We start from the raw sequence: 22,523 nt of genomic DNA, 5'->3' as shown, positions 1-22,523 counted from the left end.
TTTGTAGAAATGGGGTTTTGCCATGTTGCCCAGGCTATTCGCAAACTCCGGGGCTCAAGTGATTCACCCGCCTCAGCCTCCCAAAGTGCTGGGATTACAGGCGTGAGCCACTGCCCCCGGCCTGAATTTCAGTTTTGAAAGCAGGTCAAATAGGCTGCTGCCCTGAGCTAATGCACCCCCTGCCCTGAGCTGGTTGTTTATGCTATCAACACGGTATTTTTTCCTTAGAAATTGTACTTAAAGTTATAAAATGCAGCCAAGAGCGGTGGCTCACGCCAGTAATACCAGCACTTTAGGAGGCCAAGGTGGGTGGATCGCGAGGTCAGGACTTCAAGACTAGCCTAGTCAAGATGGTGAAACCCTGTCTCTACTAAAAATACAAAAAATTAGCTGGTCATGGCGGTGGGTGCCTGTAATCCCAGCTACTCGGGAGGCTGAGGCAGAGAATTGCTTGAAACTGGGAGGTGGAGGTTGAAGTGAGCCGAAATCGCGCCACTGCACTCCAGCCTGGGCAACAGAGTGAGACTCCATCTAAAAAAAAAAAAAGAAAAAGTTATAAAATGCAACCATTTGACATAATAAGAGCTTTCAGCGGCCAGGCACAGTGGCTCACGCCTGTAATCCAGCCACTTTGGGAGGCCCAGGTGGGCGAATCAAGTCAGGAGATCAAGACCATCCTGGCTAACACAGTGAAACCCTGTCTCTGCTAAAAATACAAAAAATTAGCCCGGCATGGTGGCATGTGCCTGTAGTCCCAGCTACTTGGGAGGCTGAGACAGGAGAATGGTGTGAACCCAGGAGGCGGAGCTTGCAGTGAGCCGAGATCGTGCCACGGCACTCCAGCCTGGGCGACAGAGCAAGACTCTGTCTTAAAATAAATAAATAAATAAATAAATAAATAAATAAGAGGTTTCAGCAATGACACAGAAGGGAAGGGAACTGCATTTGGACATCATAAAACCACTTTTATTTTTACCATAGCAACATTCCAGTGAACATTTCTTGACTGATTTGGGAGAAAAGATCTGGTTTGGTGATTCCTCACGCCTTCTCTGAGGGTGAATATACTCTTTCCCAAGGACAGGGAAGGAAGCAGAATCATAAAATCATATGAACATTTTCACAAGAGGATTCTTCTTGAAGCTTCAAGGAAATTGCTTACAGACAGAAGAAAATATGTCCTTATTGATGAAAAGGGAGAGTAAACATTGCAACTCTAACCTAGACACCCACATGGGTACAAAAAAAAAACTGACAAATGCGAACTCACAGTTGATCACTCTATGAAAAGGAATTCAGAGATGTTTGGAGCTCTTAACCTATGAGGCCAATTTCATGGAAGAACTCTACCTTCTACTTCAGAGACAGAACACTGGGCTAGATAGGATGCTTGTCTGGCCCAAAGTGGAATTTCTTACCATCTGTATACTCCCCCAAGACCCACAACAGATGGTTACTGAGTTGAAGCTTGCCACTGATCCTTAATGATGTCAACAAGCTCAGCTCTGGGAGCTGGCCCTCCAGAAGCCCAGGTCAGGGGAGCAAGGGAAAGTGGAGATGGGAACAGAGCTCTGATTCCTAGCCCCATATTTGATACTTACTCCCTTCAAAGTCCTGTCCCTGGACTACAAATTTAGTTCCCAGTTAGTAATCAGAAAACCATGAAATATGAGTTGCATTTCTAAGATGTGCCTGACTTTAGTATGATATTTAAGAGAAAAGGGCAGTGGAAACCATAAAGAAACAGCAGGATCTTTTTTTTGTATCTAAGAGTGGACTGATGAAGCACCTGGCAAGGAGCAAGAGGCCTTCTTACAAATCAAACATTGAGACTGAGATTCTTAATGACTAGAGTGAGCTCTAAAGAGAAAGGTGGCTGGGCGCGGTGGCTCACACCTGTAATCCCAGCACTTTGGGAGGCCAAGGTGGCCGGATCACTTGAGGTCAGGAGTTTGAGACCAGCCCAGCCAACATGGTGAAACCCCATCTCTACGAAAAGTACAAAAATTAGACAGGCATGGTGGTGTGCACCTGTAATCCCAGCTGCCAGGGAGGCTGAGGCAGGAGAATCACCTGAACCCGGGAGGCTGCAGTTGCAGTGAGCCAGGATCGCATCATTGCACTCCAGCCTAGGCGACAACAGCAAGACTCCATCTCAAAAAAAAAAAAAAAGAAAAAGAAAAAGAAAAGAAAAGAGAGAGAGAGAGAGAATGGTGAGCTTGTGGACATATTGGACACACAGGACATGGGGCATGGGGGCCTGAAACACCGTTTTACAGGACAGACGTACACAAAGGGGAATGCAGCCTGCCATTGTGTTTCTTCCTTTCTCCTCTATCCCTTCTTCCCTCCCTGGGAAACCACAGTAGCAGAAGTCTCATTCAATCAAACAGTTGTCAATTATATGAGTTGTACTTTTCTCTTCCTGAACAGCAAACTGGCTTTCCTCCTCTTTGTCCTCCTCTTTCTGCCTATAGAGCAATTTCCTCCTGTCCACTTTGCAGGGCCGATAGCTCAAATACAGTGCTATGGTGATGACACCCACTCCAAGGGCAACGGTAATAATGACAAAGAGGGTAGAGCTTATTCCTTCATCCAGTCCTGCCCAAGCACAGAAGATAGAGTTAGGAAAGTCTGAGAGTACAAGGATCACCCACCCCAGCCCACCAGGCCCACTTCTGAGTCTCATTCTTCCCAACCTAGTAGAATCTTTCTTATTTTCATGCTTAGATAAGAATCCCAAACTCCTGAGGGGTTTCCATCCTGGGCCTGGCAGCAGGGCAGCAAAGGTTACCTTGAACAATGACAGCAATGTCTTTGCTGACAGAGCCCAGCTGGTTAGTGGCTGTGTAGCGGTAGGTTCCAGTGTGGTTCTAGGTTGCCTTCTGTGGCACTTCAAGGTCAAAGACCACCCCATTCCAGGTACACACCAAGGCTGGAGCTGGGTTTCCCTTTGGGACGCAGGCGAGCGTGTGTTCCATCCCTTCCAGCCAGGTCTGTTTGCCAGGGCAACTGGATTCCTCTAACTGTGGCTTGCCTGCAAAAACAGTTTCCCAAAGAGCTGAGTTCAGTGCACCACACTCCCTCCCTACCTTCACCCCCTGCTCCCTCTCCTCCCCTCACCCAAATGCTGTCCCCTCCACCCAACAGCTTTCCTTCCCAAGGGAGCACTAGCAGCTCCCTGCTTTGAGCCAACTCTTCTTTCCCACCTTCTCTATCGGTAGGGAGTCCCAGATGAAACCTAGGGTGTTTTTTTTGTTCGTTTGTTTGTTTTGAGATGGAGTCTTGCTCTGTCGCCAAGCTGGAGTATGTACAGTGGCGCGATCTCAGCTCACTGTAACCTCCACCTCCCAGGTTCAAGCGATTCTCCTGCCTCAGTTTCCAGAGTAGCTGGGACTACAGGCATGTGCCCCCATGCCCAGCTAATTTTTGTATCTGTAGTAGAGATGGTGTTTCACCATGTTGGCCAGGATGGTCTCGATCTCTTGACCTCATGATCCGCCCGCCTTGACCTTCCAAAGTGTTGGGATTACAGGCGTGAGTCACCAGGCCCCGCCAAAACCTAGGGTGTTTTTACGGATTCAGACTACATGATAACCCTGCTCTGTCCATGGTGGCCCTGGGGCCCCTGCTTCCCATCTTTGCTTCTCAGTGGGTAAGGAGCTAGGTAGTGGTGAACTCAGAGATGAGGATTTTTTCTTTTCTTTTTTTTTTTTTTTTTTTTTTGAGACGAAGTCTCGCTTTGTCATCCAGGCTAGAATGCAGTGGCGTGATCTCAGCTCACTGCCACCTCCGCCTCCCAGGTTTCAAGCAATTCTCCTGCCTCAGCCTCCTGAGTAGCTGGAATTACAGGCACCCACGATCATGCCTGGCTAATATTTGTATTTTTAGTAGAGACAGGGTTTCATCATGTTGGTCAGGCTGCTCTTGAACTCCTGACCGCTAGCCATCCACCCGCCTCAGCCTCCCAAAGTGCTGGGATTACAGGCGTAAGCCACCGCACCTGGCCTATTTTCTCTACTCTTCAAAATAGAAATGTGTATATGGAATTTTTGGAAATTTCCCTTTTCAGCATAAACTCCCACTATCACTTCCTTTGTTCTCCTCGGCCATCGACCCTTAATTAATATTGCCTGATCACTTTAACTCCTTTCCTTTATGTTCCCAATTTCCCCTCATCTGGTTCCCCACTTGCTTTCCCGGGAGTAAGGTAAGCTTGGAAAGCTTTCCTTTTATTTTCTCCTTTGATTTTTTTTTTTAATGAGAAAAATGTGGCAACTGTAATAATGAAGCACTGCTGGCCAAGAAGCTCTCTAGAAATGGGAAAATAATAATCCTTATTTTGACAAGAAAGATCAGGCCTCCACTCACATAGGATATGGAGCTGGATCACAGTGGTTTTCATCAACCGCTGACCCTGCACCACCAAAGAGGCCTCGCAGGAGAAATTTCAGCCATCATCTTCCTCCCTGGCAGTAAGTAGAAGCCAGGCAGGCTCCCCAGCAGGGAGGTCTGGGGCTCCCTGAAGCCGAAGAGTAGGGCTGGGTGATGTTAATACATGCCCTGAGCAGGTCACATTAATGTCGGTCCCTGCCAATGGGTATGATTCTTTTAGCTCCAGGATTGGTGGAGGGAAGCCTATAAGGAAAGGAAAAGGAGAACCAGACACATTTCTCAAAACTAGCAGACACTTCTGCACTCTTGCTGCTGGTAAAAGCCCTTGGGAAGGCAGACAACAGGGGAAAGATTTTGGATACCATTGCTTCTTCTGTAAAAGCTGAAGAAAGAATGAGGTGGTTTGGGGATTCAAGAGCTTCTCTTATGCATGCACACATTTAGCTATGCTTCGCTGCAAGGACTGCAAGATGTCTTTTCATCTTACAGCTTTCCTCCTCACCTCAAATAAGTGTTTCTAAGAAGTAGTTCAGGGCATCCACAATCACTCTGTAAGCAGGATAGCCTAAGGAAACTGGGGATGAAGGCTGGAAAGAACTACTGTAGCCCATGTCCCCAATCTGCCTGCATTTACCAGAGAAAGATGAAGACTCATGTTCACTTGAGAGCATACCCAGCAAAGGGCAGCAGGGATGTCTACAGCCGAATCACCAACCCGTTACTCTGTGTTTTCAGCAGCAGAGAACCCGTATGAAAAAGGAAGAGCCAGGCCACTTATTGTAGCTATGCACTAGCTTTCTTGTCTTCTGTTCCATTGCACCCAGAGATGCAAAGCAAGACAGTTCCTGATCACCAGCCTCCATGGTCCGAATGGTAGCATTGGCCCATGCTGTGTCCCCCTCCCAGGAAAGGAAGGAGCTCAGCTCTTGGTCTTCCAGGAACATGTGGAACATAACTTCTTTGGCTGGAAACACCCTAGCCACCTCGCAGCTCACAGTCTCCGCCATCCCAGCCTCCAAAAGGGAAGAGACCCAGATGTGGGGACTCTGAGAGAATTCTGCCAAAAAAATGAGGACAAGAAGAGAAAGGAGAAAAGCCATGATAAATCACACATCATGCAGGACCCTTCAAGGTAGGAAGGGAGTGGGGCTAAAATGTCTCTCTTCCGCAGGGTGAGTTTAAAGCTCAAGCAAAGGTGGAGCTCAGTTACTCTCACATCCTCACCCTAAACCCCGTGAGAACTTAGTCCCAAAGGCCAAGGCAAGATGAGCCCCAGGATTCCTCCTGCACTTGAGTTCTGACTCACCAAAGATCCGGACTATTCTGATGGGTGAGCTGCCTTGAAAGAGCCTCCCACCTTGCAAACTCAAGTCCAGTTCTGCATGGCAGGAAGAATTGCATCTGTCATTCTCCTTTTGGGCTCTGACACTGATGATGACTTCAGCTCTTTGGGAGGCCACAGCCAAGCTCGTAAAGTTCTTTCTATGCAGTTCTTGGTTACCCTGGAGAAGGGCAAGGGTGAGACTCTCCAAGGGTGCTACACTGGGTACATGACACTTCACTGTGAAGGCTTCGTCCACAGCCACCCAGGCAGGCTGCAGCTCCAGGATCACTTGCTCTGGTGGCTCTTTAAGACAAAAAGGCAGGACTTGATGAGCATGCCACCCACCTCTCCAGAAAGAAACAGCATAGGACAGAAAGATGAGGTGATACAAATCACAGAAGGTGACTGCCACCCTTAAACCATCTGATCAGCAATGTCAGCTTTCTGCCATCCCTGCCCTAGATGGGGTGAGTTAGTCTTCTGGCTCTTCTTCTTCGCATCAAAAGTGGCTATGGCCATAGCAAAGAAGAGTGACTGCTGAGGGAGAGTCCCTTGCTTTGACTGTTGCTGCCATTCTGGAAAGCATTGATCTCTTACCAGAGGGGCTTCAGAGGCAAGAGCAGCTTCCGGGGGCTCCTTAGCATCACATAAAATCTATACTGTAGCAGGCCAGGTGCAGTGGCTCACGCCTGTAATCCCAGTACTTTGGGAGGCCAAGGCAAGCGGATCACTTGAGGTCAGGAGTTCCAGACCAGCCAGGCCAAGATGGTGAAACCCAGTCTCTACTAAAAATACAAAAATTAGCCAGGTGCGGTGGCAGGTGCCTGTAATCCCAGCTGCTCGGGAGGCTGAGGCAGAGAATTGCTTGAACCCGGGAGGCAGAGGTTGCAGTGAGCCAAGATTGTGCTACTGCACTCCAGCCTGGGCAACAGAGCAAGACTCCATCTCAAAACAAACAAACAAACAAACCAAACTATAGCTAACCAAGTTCTGACCCCATAGAGACCACATTTGCTTTCGTGCCATATCTTTGTCCATGTTATTTGCCCACCTGAAAGGCCTTCCTCACCTGTCCCCTTCAATTCAAACCCTAACTATCCTGGGGGAGGGCAGTGCAGGAGCCTCCTCTACCATGGAGCCTTCTCAGGCTGCCCCAGCTCACAAAAACCCTTCTCTCTCCAATCTCTGTTTATTCCAAGAGCTTGTAGCAAACAATTCAGCATTAATTTCATACTTTTTTTTTTTAAGAGACAGGATCCCACTCTGTTGCCCAGGCTGGAGTGCAGTGGTGTGATCATAGATCACTGCAGGCTTGAACTTCTAGGCTCCGGGGATCCTCCCACCTTAGCCTCCCAAGTAGCTGGGACCACAGGTGCACGCCACTATGCCTGGCTAATTTTAAAAACTTCTTTTGTAGAAACAGAGGTCTCACTGTGTTTCTCAAGCTGGTCTGAAACTCCTGGCCTCAAGTGATCCTCCTGCCTTGGCCTCCCAAAGTGCTGGGATTAAAGCATGAACCACTGTGGCCAGGCTAATCTTATACTTTTTGGTAATTTAACCATAAACATTATTAGCATATGTTTCCTGTATTGAAGATATTTTCAAGCACAGATAATCTGGATGCTCTCTATGGTCTGCTCCTAATTTAAAACTCAGAAGAAAGCCTACATCAAAGGGAAGTAGAAGTGGGCCCGGCTCACTTCTACTTGCTGGACTTGAGGTGGCTCACACCTGTAATCCCAGCACTTTGGGAGGCTGAGGCAGATAGATCACTTCAGGTCAGGAGTTCAAGACCAGCCTGGCCAACATGGTGAAACCCCTGTCTCTACTAAAAAAAATACAAAAATTAGCCAGGCATGGTGGTGGCTGCCTGTAGTCCCAGCTACTGGGGAGGCTGAGGCAGGAGAATTGCTTGAACCCAGGTGGAGGCTGCAGTTAGCTGAGATCACACCACTGCACTCTAGCCTGAGCAATAGAGCAAGATTCCATCTCAAAAAAAAAAAAATAAATGAAAAAGGTGATTGGATCTAGAATCCCTACAGTATGCCAGAAATCTTTATTAAGGGCCTTAATTATCTCCCCTAATTAGAAACATTTGTCCCATCCTTCCCTAAATAAGACATGTTCATGTTTCCCCATTCCTCCTTTCCATCCCCCTGCCCCCAGCCCTCAGCCCTACTCACAATACACAGTGATGCCAAGGCTTGTGTCCTTTTGAATCCCTGCACAAGAGAAGAAGCACTGCAGGATGGAATTCTCTGTGACATCCTCCAGAAGAAACTCTTTCCACTGAGGCCCTTTGCCCACCTGAGTTTTCTTTAAGAAGGTCTCAATTCCACTGGGTCCTGGGTCTGGGCAAGTAGTGCTGCAGTTGACCACTAGGGACTGTCCAAACTCCACCAGGGCCTGACTTGGCCAAATAGAAACCTCAAACAACTCTTCCGGGACCCCTGAAATATGAACCACATCGGCCAGGCGCGGTGGCTCACGCCTGTAATCCCAGCACTTTGGGAGGCCGAGGCGGGCGGATCACAAGGTCAAGAGATCAAGACCATCCTGGCCAACATGATGAAACCCCGTCTCTATTAAAAGTACTAAAATAAGCTGGGTGTAGTGGCGCACGCCTGTAATCCCAGCTACTCGGGAGGCTGAGGCAGGAGAATCGCTTGAACCCAGGAGGCAGAGGTTGCAGTGAGCCGGGATTGTGCCACTGCACTCCAGCCTGGCAACAGAGCAGGACTCCATCTCAAAAAAAAAAAAAAAAAAAAATGAACCACATATGCCAATGACTCTGGTGAGGACCACGAGACCCAAATAAATACAGAACCTATTCTATCTAGTTCCAGGTTAGAGAACAGGAAACCTGCCCTGAAAAAAAAGGTTCAGACAACCAGACAGGACAAAAGACCTGTAATTGGCCGGGCGGGGTGGTTCACGCCTGTAATCCTCCCCACTTTGGGAGGCCAAGGTGGGCGGATCACCCGAGGTTGGAAGTTAGAGACCAGCCTGACCAATATGGAGAAACCCCGTCTCTACTAAAAATACAAAATTAGCCAGGCATGGTGATGCGTGCCTGTAATCCCAGCTACTCAGGAGGCTGAGGCAGAGAATCACTTGAACCCAGGAGGCAGAGGTTGCAGTGAGTTGAGATTGTGCCATTGCACTCCATCCTGGGCAACAAGAGTGAAACTCCGTCTCAAACAAACAAACAAAAAAAAACTGTAGTTAACAAGTTAGCTCTGATTTCACCACTATTCCCTCCACCTATCATCTTTCTTGAGAACTTGAATTCTCTATTAGTATCACCATGGAAATTATGGAGTTGCTAAAAAAAATTATGCCCAGGAAACCAATATCTTCCTAAACTTTCAGAATTCTTGAAAGCTCCCCATAATAGGCTGCTGTGGACCCTCACAGGATTCGAACTTCATTACTTATCCCTGAAAGCAGTGTCTCTCTCAAATTATGGCTAAGGATTCCCTTTGCCAGAATCATCCTAAATGCTTGTAAACTGCAGACTCCAACTCCACCTCAGAGCGCATGGTTTCAAACCTGTGAAGGTGGGACCTGAAAATATGCTAAGGAATAAAACAAGCCTCCCGGGGACCCTTATGCACACCAAATTCTCAGATCCATTGGCCTGCAGGTAACTCCCAGGGTCACTCATTTTCCATGCCTCTTCTTTATGCCTCTTCTCAGAGTGAGACCATTCCATTTTGATTTGGCGCTAAGGGAATGGATGTTTTGGATGCTTACAAATTTCGTCTGTTCTGGAAATCTTCTCTGATGCAATGGGAGATGTCAGATGGATTTTTATTTTATTTTACTTTATTTTATTTTATTTTTGAGACAGAGTTTCACTCTTTTTGCCCAGGCTGGAGTGCAATGGCACGATCTCGGCTCACTGCAACCTCCGCCTCCCATGTTCAAGTGATTCTCCTGCCTCAGCCTCCCAAGTAGCTGGGATTACAGGTGCATGCCACCACGCCCGGCTAATTTTAGTAGAGACGGGGTTTCACCATGTTGGTCAGGCTGGTCTCGAACTCGTGACTTTGGGTGATCCGCCTGCCTCAGCCTCCCAAAGTGCTGGGATTATAGGCATGAGCCACTGTGCCTGGCCAAGCCACCACGCCTGGCCTCGGATGGATTTTAGATGCCTGATGTAGGTAAAGGGCACGGAGACTTCAGGAAGTCCTGAAGGCTTCTCTACAGGTCCTCTTTAGCTAGTCCATATCTACCATCTACTTCACCTCCCAATACCAGTCCCCTCTGGGAATACACAGCTCTTGTAGCAATGTTACCTGCTAAGGCCCCTGTTCCTTTCCCGTCATCAGGAGAACTCACTTTCTGTACCTGAGCTATGTATGGGTCCTGTCCTACCAAGAGCCTATTATAGTTCATCATGACACAAACGGTGGCAACAAAGAAGTAAAAACATTCTCAAGAGGAGAAACACAGGGCAGTCCTGGGGCAGAAGGGAACCAAGCGGAGAAGGCATGTTTCCTAGGGAGAGTCCTCTCTGATAGTCTATTAACTAGTGTTATCCCAAATACAAGCCAGAGACCGTAACGATTCTGTGTCCTAGTGATCCAAGAGACAGGAATCTTTCCCCCGGGTCCAGATGAATGAACACTGAAGTGTCACCCCACTCAGGACTCCCCACCCCCTTCCTCACTGACCAGCTACCTGTGTCCTGACACATACTGGTTTAAAAAGCTTTCCCGAATAGCCTCACCTGGGCAAAGGATCAAGGCCAGCAGGGTCCAGACACCAAACAGAAGCGTTTTCATCCTGATAAGAAGGGCCAAAGGCTGGAGAGAAAAAGACAGCAATGCTGGAGAAAGTGACCAAAAATATATATATAAGGAAAATTGCTTATTTGATATTAAAACTCAGTCCCTTTTTCTGAAACCTCACTAGTCTAGAAAAATTACAGCAAAAACATCAGCAGTGAAGGTGTACTAAAAGAATGTCTTATATCTATTTATTTCAGTTTAGCTTATGTGCATAGCAAAAACATGGGGGAAAATATGAAAAAGGATGAGGCGATATTATCAAGATTCCTGTATAAGTTGTATTCTACTTACCTTTTTACTAGTTTGCCTCCATCTATTAGACTGAGTCAATAGAAGGGTGCTGGCATGGAAACATGAAAAACTGAGTTTAGACTGGGCACGGTGGCTCATACTTGTAATCCCAGCACTTTGGGAGGCTGAGGCGGGTGGATCACCTGAGGTAGGAGTTTCAGGCCAGCCTGGCCAACATGGTGAAACCCCGTCTCTACTAAAAAAATACAAAATTAGTCGGGCGTGGTGGTGGGTGCCTATAATCCCAGCTACTCGGGAGGCTGAGGCGGGAGAATCACTTGAACTCAGGAGGCGGAGGTTGCAGTGAGCCGAGATCATGCGACTGCACTCCAGCCTGGGTGACAGAGTGAGACTCCATCTCAAAAAAATAAAACAAAACAAAAACTCATTCAAGCTAATTTCTTCTAAGAAAGGCTTCTTGACTAGCCTTATCCCACTTCACAGTCCCTTACTTGTTATACATGATCTCTACCTCACTTTATGCCAAACAAGATTTCTGAAGTTGCATATATTAGTTCACTTTGGTGAATTATTTCAGTGATGTAATCATCACTATACTAGAAATTCCTTGAGGGTAAGAGGCTCTAGTGTACTTATCTTGTGTCTCCAGCACCTAGCACAGAGCCTATGATATTCTGGGTATTCCATAAATGAAGGACTACCCTCCAATTTTGTATTTAATTTTCATACAGTGGGTTTGGAACAGGTCTAACTCCACTTCTATGCTGGTCTGAAAGAGTTTTTTTTTTTAATACAGGGATAACAGGCATATGAAAATTTATACTCCCAAGTGAAGGTTACCCTTCAAAATAACCACTTTGGAAGGCTATCATCTTTTTCCAGGATGACACAATTATTCAAAACCTTTTTTGAAATTATTTATTTATATATTGAGACAGGGTCTTGCTTTGTTGCCCAGGCTGAAGTGCAGTGGTATGATCACAGCTTGCTGCAGCCTCAAATTCCTGGGCTCAAGCAATCCTCCCACCTCAGTCTCTTGAGTCGCAGGGACTACAAGCACACACCACCACACCCAGATAATTTTTTTATTAATGTTTTTGTAGAGACAGGGGTCTCACTATGTTGTCCAGGCTAATCTTGAACTACTGGCCTCCAGTGATCCTTACACCTAAGCCTCCCAAGGTTCTGGGATTACAGGCATAAGCCACCATGCCCAGCCTGAAAGTAATTTAGAACTGGCTTTTAAGCCATATAAGAAAAATTAAGCTGGGTGCGGTGACTCATGCCTATAATCCCAGCATTTTGGGACACCAAAGTGGGAGAATTGCTTGAGCCCACTGGTTTGAGAGCAACCTAGGCAACATAGCAAGACCCCTGTCTCTACAAAAAAATTAAAGAATTAGCCAGGTGTGGTTATGCTCACCTGTAGTGCTAGCTACCTGTGAGGCTGAGGTGGGAGGATCACTTGAGCCAAAGAGTTTGAGGCTGCAGTGAGCCATGACCACACCTCTGTACTCCCAGCCTGGGCAACAGAGGAAGACCTTGTCATAAATAAATAAATAAATAAATAAAGCAAGCTCTCCTCTTTGTTACCGAACCAAACCAGGTCGGTCTGTCCACGTGCAATGTAAAGCCAAACACTGAAGCACCAGACTTTTTATTGCAAGGTGGCTGAGCAAGAAGACAGGCTCAAATATGTCTCTTCAATCTGGAGTCTGGAACAAATTTTAAGTGTGAGGGAGGACACGGGCATAGGTGGAAGTGCTGGCAGGACAGGTTTTGATCCGAAGGACTTCAAACAGTACCACTTATGGTAAGATATGGTAAAGGGTCTTATCACTGGACGTTCCTGGGCTTGGACCCGTTGCTTTTGAAAGTGTTCCTGTGCTCATATTCCAGCCATGTCCCAATCTTTTGGTTCTGTTGAGGGGCAAGACTTTAGTTCCCGGGTTATTTGAGGTTAAAGTCTCCCTTTCTGCACATGTTCTGACTGTAATGACTTGCAACTTCTTGGCTCTGTGCCGGTAAAATAACTTGATACCCCATTATTAGCGGAGTAGAACCAGTTAGAACTAATCCAGCAGTTACACTCTCCAATGTGTAGGTCTTATGATGTTTAAATCTATAACATGAATCCAGATTATTTGTGCTTTAATGGGGCCACAGTGTCACAAACAATTCCTCTTAGAGATTAATCCAAGAACTCCTGCTTTACTCTTCTCTGTAGCTTGCTGATGTTACGTTCTTTTTTTGTTGTTGTTGATGGTTTTTTTTTTTTTTTTTTTGAGACGAAGTCTCACTCTGTCGCCCAGGCTGGAGTGCAATGGCGCAATCTCCGCTCACTGCAAGCTCCGCCTCCCGGGTTCACGCCATTCTCCTGCCTCAGCCTCCCAAGTAGCTGGGACTACAGGTGCCCACCACCACACCCGGCTAATTTTTTGTATTTTTAGTAGAATGGGGTTTCACGATGTTCGCCAGGATGGTCTTGATCTCCTGACCTTGTGAACGGCCTGCCTCGGCCTCCCAAAGTGCTGGGATTACAGGTGTGAGCCACCGCGCCCGGCCTCTTTTTTTTTTTTTTTTTTTCCTGAGATGGGGTCTCACTCAGTTATCCAGGCTAGAGTGCAGTGGTGTGATCATAGCTCACCGCAGCCTCAGACTCCTGGGTTCAAGCAGTCCTCCCATCTAGGCATTCCAAAATGCTGGGATTACAGGTGTGAGCCACTGCACCTGACCTGATGTTACCTTCTGCTACATAGCCTAGCACTGCTGTCAATTTTTTTTTTTTTTTGCGACAGAGTCTTGCTCTGTCGCCCAGGCTGGAGTGCAGTGGTGCAATCTCTGCTCACTGCAACCTCCACCTCCCTGGTTCAAGCGATTCTGCCTCAGCCTCCTGAGGAGCTGGGACTACAGGCATGTGCCACCCCGCCCAGCTAATTTTGTTTGTATTTTTAGAGAGATGAGGTTTCCCTGTGTTAGCCAGGATTGTCTTGATCTCCTGACCTCATGATCCACCCACCTCGGCCTCCCAAAGTGCTGGGATTACAGGCGTGAGCCACCATGCCCGGCTGCACTGCTGTCAGTTTATCTCAGAGACTATGTTCTGCTTTTACAGTCTTAGCAAAAAAACGAAAAAAAAAAAATTCCCATTGCTCATTACTATAAGCCAAGCTAATCGGTTTTTCTTTGTAGTTGCTACTAGTATTATCTCTATGCCTGTAAAGAGTCTTAAGAAAAAACAGTCCTGGGCGAGTTGTTTTTGTTTTCATACCCATATACAGACACATACTTTGTTCTTTGTTGTTTCATGCCCTGCCCTCACCCCACTATCCCCATAGCTCCAATCTTTCATCCTTGTTTTCACATAGCACATTATGATCAGGTTCTGAAACACAAAATTTTGTATTTATCTTGCTAAGGAGAAAGAAAGCAGTAACCCCAAGGAGAAATTATTTTTAATTTATTTTGGAATTCCTTTTGCTTATTCTGTGGATTATATCCCAAATTAGAAATTTAAACTGAGGCTGGGAGCGGTGGCTCATGCCTGTAATCCCAGGACTTTGGGAGGCCGAGGCAGGCAGATTACCTGAGGTCAGGAATTCAAGACCAGCCTGGCCAACATGGTGAAACACTGTCTCTACTAAAAATACAAAAATTAGCTGGACGTGGTGGTGGGCGCCTGTAATTCCAGCTACTCAGGAGGCTGAGGCAGGAGAATTGCTTGAACCTGGGAGGCAGAGGTTGCAGTGAGCCAAGACTGCGCCACTGCATTCCAGAGCGAAACTCTGTCTCAAAAAAAAAAAATGGTTTAAACTGTCTGAAAGTCTTGGCCTGCACTCCAGTCACTGGGAGGTCTTTTGCAGGAGAGGGGTAGGCAGTGAGAGGAGGGTGGGGACGCATGCTGTTGGATTGCTTTGGCCGCGCGTGTGAACTAAACTTCGCGTCCAAGTCTGGGATTCTCGCCTTCCATTCATAGTCAGTGGTTTCTTGCTGCCCTTCCTTCCTCCCTCCCTCCCTCCTCCCTTCCTTCCTTCCTCCCTCCCTCTCTCCCTCTCCCTTCCCTCCCTGCCTCCTTCCTTCCTTCCCTCCCTCCCTCCCTTCCCTCCCTCCTTCTTTCTTTCTTGCCTTCCATTCATATTTTCATATTCAAGGGTTTCTTGCTGTTTTCTATCTTTTCTCTTCTTTCTTTCCTTTTTTTTTTTTTTTTTTTGAGACGGAGTTTGCTCTTGTTGCCCAGACTGGAGTGCAATGGCCCCATCTCCGCTCACTGCAACCTCCGCCTCCCGGATTCAAGCGATTCTCCTGCCTCAGCCTCCCAAGTAGCTGGAATTACAGGCACGCACCACCTTGCCTGGCTAATTTTTGTAGTTTTGGTAGAGATAGGGTTTCACCGTGTTGGCCAGGCTGGTCTCGAACCCCTGACCTCAAGTGATCCGCCCACCTTGACCTCCCAAAATGCTGGGATTACAGGCGTGAACCACCATGCCCGGCCGCTGTTCCTTATAAATACAAGTCACACTGGGCCTCTGCACTCTCTCGTCCATCAGCCTGGAATTATCTTCCTTCTCCCCAAACACTCCTCTATCCAGTTCAGTCTCTTTGTAATGTGGCCTGCGCTGACCTCGGGCTTCCCAGCCCTCCCTGCCCACGCCCCTCACCGCAGCACCCCCCGCATGCCTACCGCTTTCCCTTCCGCAGCACTATCGCCCTCTAACACCCTGTCACTTACTGATGAGACCTGAAATCAGCGGCTCTGTCTCCCCTGGACTGTAAGTCCCAAGGAAGGCAGGGCCCTTGGTTTTATTCACTCATGGATCCCAAGCACCTGGAACGTTACAGGCGTTCAACGACCACAAAGGAACAAGTGAATGCACGAACCAACGCACTAGATAGATGGGTACCAATCCTTGTGTGAGGGCCACTGCCCCCCACGTGGATACCGGACACCAGGCCAGCTCTTGCTGGCAAGGGGCCTCGGGTCCAGCGGAGAGAGGGGCGAGGACACCGCGTGGCCATCAAGGCTCTTCCAGGAGGACGATCCCTAACACACGTGAGAACGCGTTCAAAAGGCAGTTCCACCCGGCTTCTCCGGGCTTCCGGCGACGGCCAAGGAAAACACGACCGAAATCCTCACCGAGCCGCGGCCGCCCGCTCGCACGCCCCTCGCCCTCGCCGGGCCGCTCCTCACGGCTTCAGCCTCCGCTCCTCGGCCTCGCCCGCTCCGCTCTCAGTCGCCCGCCAAGCGCTCAGACCGTTTGTTCTACACCGCCAGGCGGGGGCGCGCGAGGGTGCGGCCGGAGAGCGGTTTTCCTGATCTGCCTAGAAACTCGTGACGCCCACGCGAAAGCTCAGCAGGGTTGGCTGAGATGAGAGGGGCGAGCAGGAAGCTACAACGACGGGAGGGGAGCGCGGGGAAGATGAGGGTGGGGAAGGCTGAAACCTGTGGGGCAGAAAGCGCGTGTTTGGCGCCGCATAACCACTTCTGAATAACGCAATGTGGAAACAAAAGGAAAGGGATCGTTTGCAGCAAAGCTCGGCTGTATGAGGAAAACAAGAGGTTGTTCTCCCCTGTGGCTGTTGTTTTCGTGGTGCGGCCCGGACACGTGAGCCGGCCCGCGTCTCAGAGAGTTGCGCGCGAAGCCACGTTCCCGCCTTGGACATCCCGGCTCGCTTGGCCGAGCTTGCGGCCTCTGCTGGCTGCTCCCTGGCGGGCTGGGAGATGTATTTGGCGGAGTTTTGACAATGGATAATTTGCAAAAAGTCTTGTTTTTTTGTTTTGAAACAGAGTCTCGCTCTGTCGCCAGGCTGGCCTGCAGTGGCACGATCTCAGCCCACTGCAACCTCTGCCTCCTGGGTTCAAGCGATTCTCCTGCCTCAGCCTCCCGAGTAGCTGGGACTACAGGCATGCGCCACCACGTCCAACTAATTTTTGTAATTTTAGTAGAGACGTGGTTTCACCACGTTGGTCAGGCTGGTCTCAAACTCCTGACCTCAGGTGATCCGTCTTGGGATTACAGGCATGAGCCACTGCGCCCGGCCCAAAGCCCACTTCTTATATGCTGATATCTGCACTGCTGGAGTGCAGTGGCGCGATCTCTGCTCACTGCAAGTCTGTACTCTTCAGGCATTTTACCGCTAGACTGTGCTGTGACAGTATGTGTGTTGAGAACTGTGACCACAATGTGCTCACAGAAGAGGAGCTCTCCCTTACATTCAGTGATCTGGCAACTCTCACTCTGATTCTCCTCATCCTGTACAGCTTCATGCCTTTGACTCTTACTGTGTCTTCTTTGCTTAACTCACCTGTTACCTCCTCCAAGAAGTCTTCATTAATCCCTTTCCCTCATTAAAGGCCTCCTTGTTTCCCCATGGTACCTTGTGAATACTTTTATCTTAGCAGTTGTCATGTGGGGAAATGACCTGTTTATGCATTTATCTTCTTTACCAGCATATGTCAGGGACTGGCACATAGAAGTTGCTCAATAAATGCTTCTCAAATGCTGCGTACAGCACCTGCTACATTATCTTGGCATCCAGTCCTTCTGCTGCCCTGACTGTCCCTTCCTCTCCCTACTCTGCATCCATGTGGGAGATGGACACTTAGCTGCCGGGGTGCTCCAGCTGGGACAGGCTCTGATACAGCTCCGCCAGTGCTGCCATCTTGGTAAACATTTCCCACCATGACCAGACTATCCACATTGCTTCTCATGAAATTCCAACCCCCTGAAGGACATCCATACTGAGGAATGTTCCTTTGCTGGCCTGCTCTAGGGCAAGCACTGGGCCACCTTGCTCCAAGGGCCTTTCTCCAAGCTACTTGGTGGGTGCTACTTTCATGCAGCTGGGCAAGGAGCCAAAATTCCCAGAGTCTGTGCTGGGAATTGTCCCATTGGCTCTGGTTGTATTAAATACTTTATTATTAAATAGTTTGTTAAATACTTTTTAGTTCCATTTAGTCTCTTTGAGTATCTGTAGATGTTAACAGGGCCTCAAGGTTATAGGAAAGTCCCTCCTCTAAACTGTAAGCCTGGGACCATACAAGGGCTCAATAAAAGTTGTTGAATGAAGTCCATGAAAAGTGGGCACTGAGCAGAATAAGTATCAAGGGAGGAAGAGAAACAGACATTCCAAGCTGAGGGAACAAAGGCAGGGGAATATTGCCTCCACTTCAAAGTGTTCCAGGAAACTTCGATTAATCAGGGCCTATCAATCAACTTCTTTTTCTCTGAGTGTCTATGACACTTGCATTTCAGTTTTTTGTTTTTGTGTTTTCCAGACACAACATCTCACTCTGTAGCCCTAGCTGGAGTGCAGTGGCATGATCAGAGCTCACTGCAGCCTCAAACTCCTGGGCTTAAGTGATCCTCCTGCCTCAGCCTCCCAAGTAGCTGGGACCACAGGCACCCACCATCACACTCTGCAAATTTTTTCATTTTCTTGTAGAGACAGGGTCTCACCATGTTGCCTGGTCTGGTCTTGAACCCCTCAAGCAATCCTCCCACCTCAGCTCCCAAAGTGCTGGATGAGTCACCTGCCCAGCCTCACTTTTCAGTTTTAACAGTTTCTTTGCAAGTAATAACAGACCAGACACACAGCTACCAAAAATCGGTGGTAAGTAATGGTTAGTCCCTAGACTGGATTCTAGAGCCAGATCAGAAACAGGTTTGATGAATCCTAGCACCATCACAGTGAGGGTGGGCAAGTGACTGGATCTCCATGCTTTGATTTCTCAAACAGAGATAGAGCCAGGCATAGAGGCTGGTGTCTGTAGTCCCAGGTACTCGGGAGTTTTTAGAGGTTGGAGGATTGCTTGAGCCCAGGAGTTTGAGGCCCCATTAGTCAAGCTATGATCATGCCACTGCACTCTAGCCTGGGCAACAGAGTGAGACCCCAACTCTTTAAAAAAAAAAAAAGAGGTAAAAATAGTGTGTACCTCATATATGGTATCTACCTCCTATGTGTTGTGATGATTAAATGAGCTAATTCACGTAGAAAATGCTCAGTAAATGTTACCTATTCTCTGCCTACTGTGTAGGAAATCTTCCTTTTATCTCTACCATGCCTCAGATATCTCTATTTGCTCCCTAACACCTTAAGGATATTTTATCATAACACAGTTAACTCATTGTTTATATTATCTGATATATCTGATATTAACTGATATTATATTATTGTTTATCATTCCCTCCCACTACACTCAAACATTGTCTGTTCATACATATTTGTTAAGTTACAACAGGGATCAAGGGAGACACAGTATATACCCCAAATAACTGAAAACAGGTACTCAAATACAAATATATATTCATAGCAGCACTACTTGGAATAGCCAAGAAGTAGAAGTAGCCCTACTGCGCATCAACAGATAAATGGATAGGGCCAGGCATGGTGGTTCATGCCTATAATCCTAGCACTCTGGGAGGCCAAGGCAGGAGGATCACTTGAGCTAAGGAGTTTGAAATCAGCCTGGGCAACACAGCGAGATGCTGTCATAAACAAATAAATACAAAGACAAACAGATGAACACATTGTGTTATATACATACAATGGAATATTATTCAGCCATAAGAAGAAAGGAAGTACTGATACATGCTACAAAATGGATGAACCTCAAAAACATTATGCTAAGTGAAGGAAGCCATGCCCAACACCCACCTATTATGATTCCATTTATATGAAGTATCCAGAATAGATAAATCTAGAGACAGAACCCAGATTGGTGGGTGCCAGAAGTTGGGAAGAGGAAGAAATGAGGAGCAACTTCTAATGAGGATGGAGTTTTCTTTTGGGGTCATTATTTTGGACCCCAAAATTTTGGACCTAGGTAGAGGAGGTGTTGCACAACATTGTGAATGTAATATATACCACTGAATTGTGCAATTTCAAACAGTTAATTTTATTACGTAAATCTCACTTCAATTTAAAAAAATAGCCAGGTGTGGTGTATACCTACTCAGCTATTCAGGAACTATCACTTGAGCCCAGGGGTTTGAGGCCAGCCTGGGCAACCTAGCAAATCACTGTCTTAAAAAAATACAAATTTTAAAATAAAAAGATAAATTGAGAGAGAAAAAGATCCTGCCTTCGTAGAGTTTATATTTTAGTGGGTGAGCCACATCAGACAGTAAATCAGCACACACTTAAGTAATGATGTACTGTGATAATCACTTGGTGGGAAGTAGGGTGTGAGAGAACAGAGAGGCTCTGAGATGGGAAGGGGATGGGTAGTTTGAAAAACTGCAAGGAGACCATCTGGGCCAATGCTTGGAGAGCCAAAGGCAGTGATTTAAAATGAACCCAAGGAGGTAAGCAGGGACCAGGTCCTGCAGAGCCTTAAATGTCACAGGAGGGAGTGTGACATTCAATCTAAGAGCAATGGGGAGCTGGGGAGGGTTTTAAACAAGGGATTGACAGGAACTGAGTTATATTTAACCGTTTGATCTGCTTTATTATTATTGAGACAGTGTCTTACTCTGTCACCCAGGCTGGAGTGCAGTGGCACGATCTCTGCTCACTGCAACCACTGCCTCTTGGGTTCAAGCAATTCTCGTGCCTCAGCCTCCTGAGTAGCTGGGATTACAGGTGTGCACCACCACGCCCAGCTAATTTTTATATTTTTAGTAGAGACATGGTTTCACCATCTTGGCCAGACTGGTCTCGAACTCCTGACTTCAAGTGATCCACTCACCTTGGCCTCCCAAAGTGCTGGGATTACAGGTGTGAGCCACTCCACCCAGCTGATCTGCTTTTAAATGCACTTATTAGCTTGCCCCTTTTCTAGGGTAGAAAAAATCTTGTGTTTTCTGATGCGACCCACTGGGTCGCATCAGAATTACCTAGGAAGCTTATTTTTCAAATACAATACTGAGAGCCATTGGATTGGAGGGGTGGCTGGCGGAGGTATTTTGGAGTAGCTTCCCAGAGGACTCTGATTCTCCACTGCCCCTATCACTTTGAGAATTACTGTTGTTCTAGAAGCTTAAAAGGATTGAAATGGATATTAGCTGCCTTATCATGAACTCTTAACCCACTTTACAGGGATGGGAGGGGCCATGATTCAGTGACTTTAACAATTCCAGTGGCCAGTCCCCAGACTGACAGGTTATCGACTCTTGGGGCAATAGAGTGGGATCTCTAAGTTCAGGAGGTAAGAAAACAGCAGCAGCGGTGTTTATCACTAGAGGCATGAGGAGAACTAATTTCTAAAAAGCACTGGAGAACTATACTGTAAAAAAGATCTGGGGTGCTATGATGCAAGGAAGGAAGTATTACTTGGTTGGGGCTGGAAAAATAAAGCAATTATAGTAAAAAAACTAAAAAAAAAAAAAAGTCTAGATCCCGGCTTCTTGACAGTGTGGTCTGAGAAGCAACAGCATCGCTGGCAGCTTGTTACAAATGCAGAGTCCTGGGCCCTGCCACAATCTGCATTTTTAATAAGAGCCTCGAGTGTTTTTTATGTGCTCATTAAAGTTTAAGCAGCACTGGTCCATATCACGGCGAGGAGATCCAGACCATCAGAGGGTAGGCTCCCTGGCACAGCTGACGCATTTTTGAATACTTTGATACAGCACAGTGTACCTGAAAAGATACTGCATTTTTGAAAATTAAGTGCTATAAATACTGGAGAAAGACCTCTTTTTTTAAACTGCGGGGAGGTTTCTCATAAGCCAAATTTCTTTTGACTAGAAGCATTTTCTGGGGAGTAAAGTACCAGGCTTCCTTAAAGTGAGGCGGAGCCACGTTAAAAATGTGCGGTAGAACTCAGCCTTGGCCAAGTCGACCGTTCACCAGCTGGGTCAAGTCTGGAGCCTCCTAGGTCCCTTGGCAGTTCCGAGCTACCAGCATGAGCTTTTACAGGAAGTTGAGTTGGCTGCTGTTCTGCCCCACAGAGCAGCTGAGTCTTTTTTTTTTTTTTTTTTTTTTTTGATGAGTTTCACTCTTGCCGCCCAGGCTGGAGTGCAGTGGGGCGATCTCGGCTCATTGCAACCTCTGCCTCCAAGGTTCAAGCGATTCTCCTGCCTCAGCCTGCCGAGTAGCTTGGATTACAGGCGCCCGTCACCACACTCGGCTAATTTTTGTATTTTTAGTAGAGACGGGGTTTTCACCATGTTGGCCAGGCTGGTCTCGAACTTCTGACCTCAGGGGATCCGCCCGCCTCAGCCTCCCAAAGCGCTGGGATTACAGGCGTGAGCCACAGCTACCGACTCTGAGTTGAGTCTTTAACGCCGAAGATGCAGAAAGGAGACTTGACAAAACTATTTTCGGGGAGTGTGGCCGCGGAATTCGGTGAGGGTGCTATACCGGGAGAGAGTAGTAGCAACGGCTCATTCACTGTGAAGCCCCTAAGTGACCTTAGACCTCTGACCCCGCGCCTCACTCGGCGCTTCCGCGCGCAGCTTCCGCTCCCGCCCCTCCGACGAAAGGCTGGGCCAAAGGTGGGGGGGTGGGGCTCTGAGGTCGGCAGTTAGGGGCGGTGCCCGCTGGGGGCGGGTCTCGCGAGGGGCAGGATTCGAGGAGGCACTCGAGCATTGGGCACCAGGTAGAGGCGGGGCCTAGTGCTGGGCTGGGTTGGGCGGGGCAGGGAGTTCGTAGCCGCCTCTGGGTAACTCGACTCGGGCGGCCAAACCTCCGGAGGCCGGGGACGGAAGGCGGGCCCGCAGCAGATCCTGGATCCGGAATCTCCCGGGCAGGAGCGGAATCTGTCCCGAACCGGGTCTGTGAGGAACTCGCGAACTTGGATTAGGAAATCCCGGAGC

At 47.8% G+C, this 22,523-nt stretch overlaps 1 pseudogene across 1 annotated transcript, besides 3 other annotated features; it reads right to left on the bottom strand.

The window, feature by feature from the left end:
• Window positions 1-946: 946 nt before the first annotated feature.
• TCAM1P (testicular cell adhesion molecule 1, pseudogene) lies at window positions 947-8,310 on the bottom strand (annotated as a pseudogene). The gene is made up of 6 exons (NR_002947.2): window positions 7,903-8,310; window positions 5,702-6,022; window positions 5,030-5,452; window positions 4,372-4,638; window positions 2,795-3,037; window positions 947-2,601 (listed from the first exon to the last, which is right to left on the bottom strand). The product of NR_002947.2 is annotated as a testicular cell adhesion molecule 1, pseudogene (transcript).
• Window positions 12,503-12,797: a silencer, noted in NCBI's record as "tiled region #5702; K562 Repressive DNase matched - State 14:Gen5'". NCBI's record gives its function as "represses a minimal TATA promoter and a strong SV40 promoter by Sharpr-MPRA in K562 cells {active_cell/tissue: K562}" and the evidence as "EXISTENCE:reporter gene assay evidence [ECO:0000049][PMID:27701403]".
• Window positions 20,650-21,039: a transcriptional cis regulatory region, noted in NCBI's record as "candidate enhancer chr17.4273 targeted for multiplex CRISPR interference". NCBI's record gives its function as "positively regulates MAP3K3 and SMARCD2 gene expression with high confidence in K562 cells {active_cell/tissue: K562}" and the evidence as "EXISTENCE:mutant phenotype evidence [ECO:0000015][PMID:30612741]".
• Window positions 22,149-22,318: a silencer, noted in NCBI's record as "silent region_8833". NCBI's record gives its function as "represses an Ori minimal core promoter by ATAC-STARR-seq in GM12878 lymphoblastoid cells {active_cell/tissue: GM12878}" and the evidence as "EXISTENCE:reporter gene assay evidence [ECO:0000049][PMID:35858748]".

This window comes from Homo sapiens, chromosome 17, assembly GCF_000001405.40.
Source record: "Homo sapiens chromosome 17, GRCh38.p14 Primary Assembly".
NCBI lineage: Eukaryota > Metazoa > Chordata > Mammalia > Primates > Hominidae > Homo > Homo sapiens.
The sequence above is the reverse complement of the archived record's forward strand: the minus strand, read 5'-3'. Positions and strand labels throughout refer to the sequence as shown.